This window comes from Homo sapiens, chromosome X (assembly GCF_000001405.40).
Source record: "Homo sapiens chromosome X, GRCh38.p14 Primary Assembly".
Classification (NCBI taxonomy): Eukaryota; Metazoa; Chordata; class Mammalia; order Primates; family Hominidae; genus Homo; species Homo sapiens.
In genome coordinates this window covers 32,276,258-32,288,379 of record NC_000023.11, presented here as the reverse complement: position 1 = coordinate 32,288,379, position 12,122 = coordinate 32,276,258, and the positions used below count along the sequence as shown (strand labels likewise).

At 37.1% G+C, this 12,122-nt stretch overlaps 1 protein-coding gene across 17 annotated transcripts in view; it reads left to right on the top strand.

Moving 5' to 3' along the window:
* The window catches only part of DMD (dystrophin), a 2,220,167-nt gene that overhangs the window by 1,051,009 nt on the left and 1,157,036 nt on the right, over window positions 1-12,122 (top strand). For all 17 annotated transcript variants that reach the window (XM_006724469.4, NM_000109.4, XM_011545467.2 and 14 more), the window contains 1 exon segment: window positions 679-851. In XM_006724469.4, the coding sequence (XP_006724532.1) occupies window positions 679-851 (173 nt within the window).

Here is a 12,122-nt window from a genome sequence, read left to right as displayed (position 1 = left end):
GAATACTGGAGACTGAAAAAATTAAGGATGGCTCCAAAGTTGTCAATCTGAGTAATTGTTAATTGAATTACTATAATTCAATTGAAATCAGTAATTGCCATTTACTGAAATGAGGGAATCTATGGGATGAGAAGGATTAGGAAATGCAGTTCAGAATTTTGTTTGCGTCATATTAAGTTTGAAAGTCTCGTGAGACCTCCAAGTGTTGAGAAATTAGCATTTGTTAGACTGGAGTTCGGAGGAGATGTCCGGGCTTGAGATACACATTTGGGTGTCATTGTCTTATATAAGATATTTAAAATTATGAGAACAAATGGGATGGATTATGGACAGAGAAGAAAAGAAGTGCAAATACTGAGTCAGAGCACTCTAATATTAAGATCAGGATGAGAAGGATCCAGCAAAGGAAAGCAGAAGAGGTCAGGATACAGAAGCCAAATGAAGGCAGTTTTAAGATGTAGGGAGCGATCCACTCTCTCAGGATGAGGTCTGTGATTTACCTATTGAATTTGAACATGTCAAAGTCACTGGACTTCATGGTTATTAACTTTAAAAAGTCAATAATTAAGAATTGCAACACCATTTGCTACCTTTGGGATTTGTATATATATATATATTTTTCTCTTTCTATAGACAGCTAATTCATTTTTTTACTGTTTTAAAATTTTTATATTACAGAATATAAAAGATAGTCTACAACAAAGCTCAGGTCGGATTGACATTATTCATAGCAAGAAGACAGCAGCATTGCAAAGTGCAACGCCTGTGGAAAGGGTGAAGCTACAGGAAGCTCTCTCCCAGCTTGATTTCCAATGGGAAAAAGTTAACAAAATGTACAAGGACCGACAAGGGTAGGTAACACATATATTTTTCTTGATACTTGCAGAAATGATTTGTTTTCAGGGAACTGTAGAATTTATTTCAGTACCCTCCATGGAAAAAAGACAGGGAAAAAGAAGTATCACTCTCATTGAAAAATGGTAAGTAAAATGAGAACAAATAATGATGAACAATTCAGACAAATGAGCTGAACTGTAGAAATTATTCAGTATTAAATTTAGCGTTATGTTGAAGCATTATATCTTCTAAAATTTCAGGTAATCGTAAATCAGATTGGGGCATTGAGGTGCTATAAACAGTTGTTCGATATAACATATTTATCTTTAGTCAAATCTGTATCTACAAATTTATAGGAGTTTGATACTTAGATTAACATGTTTAAAATACTACCTATCAATAAAAAAATTGATTTTCATTTATTTATATTTTGGAGGGTGACACTTTACACTTTGCATTACCCTCCCCCACATTTTTTTTTGCCATGGGGAATTTGTTAAGTTGATTTAAAATCATGTTTCTTTTTATCTTAATTGAAATATTTAGCTGTTGACTTAATTGGGGGGTGGCAGAAATTCAATTACATTATTTAGCTTCACATCACAAGAAGTGGATTACTCTTTCTTTTACATTTTTAGATTAAAAGTAATAAAGTTCTCTAACAGCTTAAAGTGATTCATTTCAGAAGTCTTTATCCTCAAGGTAGGCTTCTTAATTATTCTCAGAGGAAATCAAATCATTCGTCTAATAATTATAGGGAACCTCCATGGTATCTCTTACATCTGTCCATTTCTAACCATCTTTACTCCTATTTTAGTTCTTGGTTTACTACATCAGGCACCTAAAGAGAGATTTCTAGCATTAATCTCAGTTGTCTCAAGTGATTATCTCCACTTTGTTCTCAACGATCTTTCAGTGGCCGTCATTTTTCTAAAGTGTAAGAGCTTTGGTACTATAATCTCATTCCCTTGAGAATGAAACCCTGACTCCTTAATTGTGCAAAATTATCTGGTCAGCCTCACTGCTTATTTCTTCGTGCCTGCCCTATAGCAAGCCCCTCCAATTATGTTCTAGCGATATTAAATCAATTTGCAGATGCCCAAGTGTTTTGTACTCCCTCTGACCTGCCTGTTCTTCAGGTCTCACTTCAGATGTTGTCTTTTTCTAGAAATCCTAAAACTATTAGTCGCTCCTAACATCTGGAAACTTGGATATTGTTTCATCATTTAATGTAATTTAATATCAATAAATCATTTATGCATTTGTAAATTTTCCAGACTTGGTGGCTACCGTGTAGAATATATGATCTGATGTGCCTGCTCCTAAAACCTAACACATAGTAATCAATTTGTTTACTTTTCTGCCTCCCACACAAGCTCCTTATAGAAAAGGGCTATGTTTTATTTGTGTTATATGCTCAGGACTGATATAGTGCTGAGCACAAAGTGGGTGTTCAATGTGTCTGGACTCAAGCCTCCTCTCCGAAACCTGAGAATATTTCCCCTTTGGATAGTCTACCAGATTTATCTCACTGCACCTTCCAGGGCAGGTGCGGTGGCTCATGTCTGTAATCCCAGCACTTTGGGAGTCCAAGGCGGGCACATCATTTGAGGTCAGGAGTCCGAGACCAGCCTGGCCAACATGGTGAAACCTTGTCTCCATTAAAAATACAAAAATGACCTGTGCGTGGTGGCATGCGCTTGTAGTCCCAGCTACTCGGGAGGCTGAGGCAGGAGAATCCCTTGAACCCAGGAGGCAGAGGCTGCAGTGAGCCCAAATCCACCACTGCATTCCAGCCTGGGTGACAGAGCAAGGCTCCGTCTCAAACAAAACAAAACAAAACAAAAAAACAGATTTATCTCAACTTCCTTGAAAATAGCTGGTCCCACAGTATCCAAAGCCAGGCTTGATAAAGGCAAAGAAACTCAGCCACTCTGTGTATATGCTACAAATACAAACTTAAACTTATAAAATGGTGGCTCATGCCTGTAATCCCTGTGCTTTGGGAGGCTGAGGCAGGAGGGTCACTTGAGCCCAGGAATTCAAGGCTGCCACGAGCCATGATTGTGCCACTGTACTACAGCCTGAGTAACAGACTCTCTCTAAAATAAATTAACAAAAATATTTGAATAAACTTATATCGCCACCATGGTGTACTTTCTCCCAGCATTTCACATTGAGACATTATGAGGCTCTGCGGGCTACTCCAATGATGTCAGTTTCATTACCATCTTTTGGGATGTTCATTCCACTCTTGGGAAGTTCTTCCCCCTCTGGTTTGTCTTCTTATAGTCAGTGTTTTCTCCAAGCATTCTAGGCCACCCACACCATCCCCTAAGGACCGTTGAGGTTTCTTGGATAGCCAGTGATTACTGTGCTTCTATATACACCTACCAGTTTTGCACTAAAGTAGAAATAACGCTTTCTGCTTTTTGAGGTTTCTCCTCCGCTTTACTCATGAGTAATTTTTGGCAAATGATCCAGGTATTCCCTTCTCACTGGGTCATATGGACATTTCCCTTTCAGTTTACCTTCACCTTAGACTTAAACAGAAACACTAACGCCATTCCACAGAGAGGGTCGCTGAAATCTCACCCCAACTCTGAGGACTTTTCTGGTTTTGACAAAGGATAGAGTTTCTCTAGCCCCAATAGATCCACCCTGTCCTTATCCAGAGGTTGAAATTGTACTTCCATTGACATTCTATAGGAATTGGTCAGGAGCTGTTAAATTTCCTATGACTTTTAGTACAATCTCAGATACAAACTGTTTTAAGTAATTGCTTATAAGCACAGGCTCTAGAGTTCCAACCCGTTTTGGAATTCTGGCCTTTCTGCTATCTATGTGCCCTTGAGCAAGTCTCTTAAATCTTCTGCTCCATACATTTCTGATGTATAAAATAGGATAAGAATAGTGTCTATGTCACAGGGTTGTTATGAGGATTATCTGACACAATATATGTGGGGAGCTTAGTGGGTTGCTTAAACACGATAATGGCTCAGTTAAGGTTGGCAATTTTGATGATGAAAATGGTGATCTTATGGTTCTGATAGTCATGATATCTGTTAATTCATTCTTACATGCTTTCAAATTTCCCTGAGAACTACAGAGAGAAGAATTAGACTCAGTCCCTGCTTTGAAGAGCTTCACAGTCTTGGAGAGAAAAGGCACAACCAGCCAGTAAAATAAGGGTTGATAGACTGGAGCTGTACAAGAGGGCAAGAACAAGATCCCTGGGGAATGGAATGAAGCTATCTTACTAAGAATGGGGAATAAGTCAAGGTCTATAGACCATTCAAGGTTCTGAGTTACAACTAACAGAAAGTGACTCTAGTTACTTTAGGTAGAATTATATAAATTACTAGAAGGATATCAGATACCTCATGGAATCAATAGGAAAGCCTGAGAGCTAGGTTTAACAATGGGCAGAAACTATAAAGGAAGAGCAGGCTAGGCATCCAGAATATATCTACTATCAAGCTATGAGGTAAATCTGAATTATTTTGCTGTCATGCCAGAGTCCATTGCTTTACCAGGAGCACCATTGCACTGGACATTGCTTGCTATCGTCACTGCAAAAAAAAAGTATCTAAATTATTTATTCTTGCTGTGTGTCGCTCATTCTACAACTAGGGTCTCTGGCAGAAGCATCTGATAGTCAGAGGATGGATATTTTTTTCTGTAAAGGGGCAGTTAGTCGATATTTTTGTCCCTGCAGGTCATGTAGTCTCTGTCACAACTACTCAACTCTGCTGTTTTAGGGTGAAAAAAACCATGTATAATATATAAATGGATGGACATGTTGTGTTTAAATAAAACTTTATTTACCAAGGCAGATGGCAGGCTGGAATTGCTGATGGGCCATAGATTGATGACTGCTGTTACAATACAGGTTTAGGCCACAGAACTAGGTTCTTATTGCCAGAGATCAGGGAAAATAAATAGCTGAATTTGTTCTTCATTGTAGTGGCAGTCAACACCTCGTGTCCTACTAAGTCCCATACAATGGTAGATTCTTGAATCCTTGGAGAGATTTAGAAGCTATGCATTCCTGAATACACAAATGTTCAGTACAGCCTTCATGTGGTGTTCTCAACAAAAATCTGCTGAGTTTTTTAGTAAGCCAATTTGGGTTAAATCAAAATAAATTTGAGCTAGTAAGAAGGGCTATATTGGTATTTTTCTTAAATGGTACATGTATGGTAGTATTAGCTATGACCGCAATAATGCTGTGACACAAATCACCCTAGAACTTGCTGACTGAAAACAACAGGCATTTCTGGCTGTTTAGGTTACTTGTACCTTGACTGACTCAGCTGGGCTTGGCCGGGAAGCTCTGCTTCAAGATGTGGGTTAGTAGAGCTAGGTTCCATGATGCATGTTGGATTAAGGTCTGCTATATATGTCTTTGCTCTGGACCTAAGATGAAGGGTCAGTGACATGTTTTCATGACCAGTCACCAAAGTATAAACCTAAACCTCCCAAGAACACTCATGGCCTCTGCTCCTGTGAAGTTCACTGACATTTGATTGGCCAAAGCAAATTACGTTGCCAAATCTGACATCAATAGAATGAGAAAGTAGACTCTTCCTACAGTGGAAGGGGGGAGAGATGTTAATATTTGCTGAACCATAATTCAAATTATTAGAGATAGTTAATAATTTATAACAGGATTGTTTTACAGCTAGAAAATGCCTTAGTGGTTTTGCCCTGCTTCATTATTTTATAAGGGAGAAAACTATATTTCAAAGATGTTATGTGACTTGCCTAAGCACATACTAAATAGTACATCTGCGTATTTCTCGTTCAGTCATCTCTATTAAATGTCATAAGGTAAAACAGACATTACGCTTTAGATGAGAACAGGAAGATATTTAAAAAGCCAGACTAATTTATGACTGCTCATTCATTATCTAACATACCTGCTTCCATACATTGTCTTTCAGCAAATAGAATTTCAACATGTATCTCAACAAGTTACACATCATCAAAGTATTAAAAGCCTTATTTTCACGGACATTCTGATTGTTCACTAACAGTCAACACAGTCAACAGTAAATCCACAAGCACCATGAACGTATGGATAGATATGCCTATATGTAAGATTACTAGTTAACTTTTTGGGAAATTAATATTACTGCTAAATTCAGTTTTCATTGATTTTCGGGTGGGTAACTAACTGCTTATAAAATATACCTATAGGAAACATGTAAAAACAAAGAATTTACATAAGATCTATCTGGGATTAGAGAAACAAAGCTCTTTTCTTCTTTCAATGAACACTTAAGAAGGGCCTACTAAATGTCAGATGTTATACTCTATTGTCGTTAGTTTCTTTCTGATACCATCTTTACTATCCTGTAAGCCATTAGTGAGTGTTTCCCACTTTTAGAAAATGACTTCCCAAAGACTAAGAGGGTAGAACAGTTCAAATGCTATCATCAAAATGAAGGCAGTTTCTAGACTACAAATTGCTGTACAGCCATAAGATGGCATTATTGTGTAACAACAAGGTCCCTGTCAAACATCAAGAAAGTAATGTTTTAAAATCAGTATTTCCTTCTTGGAATTCTACTTAGTCAGATATGTTGGGTTGACTTACCCACCCATATAAGTAGTTAAATTCAAGATGGTTCTGAGCTTTAGATATGATGTAAAATAGACATGAGACTAAGAGTATTTATTTCTATATTATTACATTTCTATAGCAAAAAAAGAAACCTCTAAAAAAATTAGAGAAAGAAGTATAAGGGCATTTAATTAATCAAATGTTCTTATTAATAATATTTCATAAAATAAAGGAAATGTTGAAAAATAAAATATGAACACAGTGTTGTATAAAGTAAGTCAGAAATAAGAGAACACTTACTGTATGAATCTATTATATGAAACTAAAAAATTAGGCACTTTGGAGTTTAGAGGTCAGATAGGAGTTACCTTTGTGAGTTGTGATTAACAAGGGCTGAAGCAGGCTTCTAGGGACTGGGTAATGTTTTGTTTCTTGATGTGGATGCTGCTTGCATTGATGTGTTTCCTTTAGGGAAGTTTATGGAACCATACACTTGTGATGTGTACACATTTCTGTGTGAATGCTGGACTGAACTAAAATTTATACTTACATTTTAAAAATAATAAATATGTACTTTAAGTACAGGAGGGACATAAATCATAATTGTTTTAATAAAGAAGGTGTAGCTTTAGGAAAAGCATACCGCATTGTTCTATTTTTGGCATTTCACCATGGACCCCTGAACATTTTATAATTGCCCAGTACAGCCTGTCAGATAAATATGTGGGCACTACTGCTTTAGAGAAAGTATTTTCCAAATTTATCACCACCATTCTGGAACCACAGTTCCACAGGTCATTAGGATGCTGAGGGTGGGACAGTTGGAAGCTGCTTCCCCAGGGATTTCTCCATTGTTCAGTTCTCATAGCAGTAAGCCTGCAGCATTAAAGCACTCACAGGCTCTGGCTGCCATTTGTGCTACATGAAGAAAAATGAGAAAATGAAAGAAACGAAAGGAGAGAAAACAGGAGTAGAAACCAAATAAATCAGATTCGAAGAGAAAGTCCCTAATCGTCTCTGTATTCAGACAGTAGGGAATGAGCATGCAATTCTGCAAGCCCATTCCTAATGTGAGTTTCTGATAAGAATTTGCTATCTCAGTTGTAATCTTTCTACTGAGACATTCAATAAATAATTTTCTTTCATGTCAAGGTAAGGAAATAACCTCACATTACCCATATAAGGAAAGAATAGTATACTAATCCTCACGTTATCACTATAGAATTTTATCTTTTAAAGTGGAAGCTAGAGGGACAGATGCATAATCTGGGAGCTTTTCCAGAATTGTTTGTTCCTAAATGAGACATTCAGCTATAGCAGCATTAGCAGCCTCTTCTATTTGTCACAATGCCATATGTAGTTGGGAAGATACATGATAAGCACATACAGGATGCTGACAACTCACGAAGGATTATCATTGCAGTCTTAGAATTAATCTCTACCATATTTGAAGATTTTTATGCAAGACTGGATCTTCATTCCACAACCCAGGTATAGGTATATGTGCCAATACAAAATACTTACTGTTGGTTTCTGAGCTTGGTAGAATTAGGAAGTAAGGGGTAAAAAACAAGCAAGTCCTGAACTTAAGAAAGTTGTTCATATCCTATTCCATGGCCACTGTTTTACTGACTGGAAGAAAGGAATCCCGTGGATTCAGTCATGGGGACAATGCAGAAGAAGATACAGTAGACAGACAGAGAAGTACAAATTTCTATTTATGTTCCACTTTTCAAAATTTTTTATCTTTAAATGTTATTTTTAACGTTTGTGGGTACATAGTGTGTATATATATATATATATATATACTGTATATATATATATATATACTGTATATATAAACACACATATATAAATATATACTATATATAAACATATACTATATATAAATAGATTTACTATGTATATACACACATACATAGTGTATATATGTGGGGTATATATATATGTGGGGTACATATATATATGTGGGGTACATATATATATATGTGGGGTACATATATATATGGGTTACACATATATATGTGTATATATGTGGGGTACATATATATATATGGGGTACATGAGATGTTTTGATATAGGCATGCAAGTATCATGGAAAATGGGATGTTCATCCCCTCAAGCAATTATTCTTTGTTTTACAAACAGTAAAATTGTATTTTTTTAATTGTTTAAAAATGTACAATTAAATTGTTTTGACTATAGTCACCCTGTTGTGCTAGCAAATAGTAGGTGGTGTTCATTCTTTCTAACTATTTTTTGTACCAAGTAACCATTTCAACCTCCCCCTCAACCCCCCCACTACCCTTCACAGCCTCTGGTAACCATCCTTCCACCCTCTATCTCCAAGTGTTCAGTTGTTTTGATTTTTACCTGCCACAAATAAATGAGAACGTGTGATGTTTGTCTTTCTGTGCCTGGCTTATTTCATTTAACACAATGACCTCCAGTTCCATCCATGATGTTGCAAATGAAAGGATCTCATTCTTTTTATGGCTGAATAGTACTCTATTACGTATATGTATCACATTTTCTTTGTCCATTCATCTCTTGATGGACGCTCAGGTTGCTTCCAAATCTTGGCTATTATGAACAGTGCTTCAACAAACGTGGGAGTACAGATATCTCTTTGATATACTGATTTGCTTTCTTTGGGATATATACCCAGCAGTGGGATTGCTGGATCATATGGTAGCCCTGTTTTTAGTTTCTGAGGAACCTCCAAACTATTCTCCATTTTGGTTGTACTAATTTACATTCCTGCCAACAGTGTACAGGAGTCCCCTTTTCTTCACACTCTCTCCAGCATTTGTAATTGCCTGTCTTTTGGATATGTCGTTTTAATTGGGGTGAGAGAATATCCCATTGTAGTTTTGCTTTGTATTTCTGTGATGATTAGTGATGCTGAGCATATTTTGATACACCTGTTTGCCATTTGTATGTCTTCTTTTGAGAAATGCCTATTCGAATCTTTTGTCTATTTTCTGATCTAATTATTAGACTTTTTCCTATAGAGTTGTTTTAACTCCTTATATATTCTGGTTATTAATCCCTTGTGAGATGGGTAATTTGCAAATATTTTCTCCCTTTCTGTTGGTTGTCTCTTCACTTTATTGATTGTTTCACTGCGGAGGAGCTTTTTAACTTGATGTGATCCATTTGTCTATTTTTGCTTTTGTTGCCTGTGCTTATAGGATATTACTCAAGATTTGTTTTACCCAGACAGATATCCTGGAGAGTTTCTCCAATGTTTCCTTGTAGTAGTTTCTTAGTTTGAGGTCTTAGATTTTAGTCGTTAATCCATTTTGATTTGCAGTTCTCTGATGGCCAGTGATGGTGAGCATTTTTTCATGTGTTTTTTGGCTGCATAAATGTCTTCTTTTGAGAAGTGTCTGTTCATGTCCTTCACCCACTTTTTGATGGGGTTGTTTGTTTTTTTCTTGTACGTTTGTTTGAGTTCATTGTAGATTCTGGATATTAGCCCTTTGTCAGATGAGTAGGTTGCGAAAATTTTCTCCCATTTTGTAGGTTGCCTGTTCACTCTGCATCAATTTTGCATCAATATTTTTTGCATCAATTTTGCATCAATATTTATCACATGGTAGAGTTCAGCAGTGCAGCCATCGGGTCCCAAGCTTTTCTTTACTGGGAGAGTTTACTAAGGCTTCAGTTGTGTTACTCGTTACTGGTCCGTTCAGGTTTTGGATTTCTTTATGGTTTAATCTTGGTAGGTTGTATGTGTCTAGGAATTTATCCATTACCTCTAGATTTTTCAATTTGTTGGCATATAGTTGCTCATAGTAGCCACTAATGAGCCTTTGAATTTATCTGGTATTAATTGTAATATCTCCTTTCTCATTTCTGATTTTACTTATTTGGGTCTTCTCCCTTTTTTCTTCATTAGTCTGGCTCAAGATTTGTCAATTTTGTTTACCTTTTCAATAAACCAACTTTTCGTTTTGTTGACTTTTTGTATGTTTTCTTTATTACAAAGTCATTTATTTCTGCTCTGATCTTTATTATTTCTTTCTTCCACTAATTTTGGGTTCGATTTGCTCCTGCTTGTCTAGGTCTTTAAGTTGCATTGTTAGGTGATTTATTTGAAGTTTTTTTCTTTTTTGATAGAAGCACCTACAGCTGTAAATTTCTCTCTTAGTACTAGTTTTGCTGTATCCCATAGGTTTTGGTATGTGGTTTTTCTTTCATTTTTTGAAGACATTTTTCAATTTCCTTCTTAATTTCTTCATAGACCCAGTGGTCATTTAGTAGCATATTGTTTAACTTCCATGTGTTTGTATAGCTTCCAAAATTCCTCATTGTTGATTTCTAGTCTCATTCCATTGTGGTCAGAGAAGATGCTTGATATTATTTCATTGTTACTGAATTTTTAAGACTGCTTTTGTGACCTACTGTGTGGTCTATCTTTGATAATAATCTGTGTGCTGAGAAGAAGAATGTGTATTCTACACTCATTGAATTAAATGTCCTGTAAATATTAGATCCATTTATTCTATAGTGCAGATTAAGTCCAATGTTACTACTTTGGTTGAGCTTCTGTCTGGGAGATCTGCCCAATGTTGAAAGTGGGGTTGTTGAAGGCTCCTGCTGTTATTGTATTGAGGTCTTTCTCTCTCCTGAGCTCGAATAATATTTGCTTTATATATCTGTACTCCAGTGTTGTATATATATTTGCTTTATATATATATACTCCAGTGTTGAGTGCATATATAATTGTTATATCCTGTTGCTGAATTGACCCTTTTGTCATTATATAATGACCTTCTTTGTCTCTTCTTACAGTTTTTGTCCTGATATCGATTTGGTCTGATATAAGTAGAGCTAGTCCAGCTATGTTTGGGTTTCCATTGGCATGGAATATCTTTTTCCATCCCTTTATTTCCAGTCTGTGTGTAGCTTTATAGGTGAAGAGTGCTTCTTGAGGTCAACACAAAATTGGGTCTTATTTTTTCATCCATTCAGACACTGTATCTATTTTTCTTTTCTTTTCTTCTCTCTCTTTTTTTTCTATCTTTCTTTCTTTTCTTTTCTTTCTTGAGACAGCATCTCACTCTGTTGCCCAGGCTGGAGTGCTGTGACAGGATCTCAGTTCGCTGCAACCTCCGCCTCCTGGGTTCAAGAGATTCTTGTGCCTTAGCCCCCCAAGAGGCTGAGATTACAGTCACCCACAATCACGCGTGGCTAATTTTTGTATTTTTAGTAGAGTTGGGGTTTCATGATGTTGGCCAGGCTGGTCTCGAACTCCTGACCTCAAGTGATCCACCTACTTCGGCCTCCCAAAGTGCTAGGATTACAGGCGTGAGCCACCATGCCTGGTCGAGACACTGTATCTCTCTTGATTGGAGAGTGTTGTCCAGGAGCTGAGCCTAGAAATGGGTCCTCACAACACTGTCCAGTGCCCTATCCTACTGTGACTAAGCTGGTATCCAAGATGCAAGACAGAATCCTCTTTACTTTTCACTCTCCTCTCCTTAAGCAAAAGTAAGGAGTCACTTTTGTTACTGTGGGCTGCACTGCTTGAGGTGGGGGAGGAATGGTGCAAGCACTCCCTTAGCCATGCCAGCTGGTGTCTCCCTAGGTCACATGCCACCCTAGTCCTCTAGCTCTTAGCCCAGGCTATGACTAGAAGTTATCTAGGAATTGCAGTTCGTGTGTCCCAGACTGCCTCTCAGGTTTACCTGGGACTCCAGAGCACTTT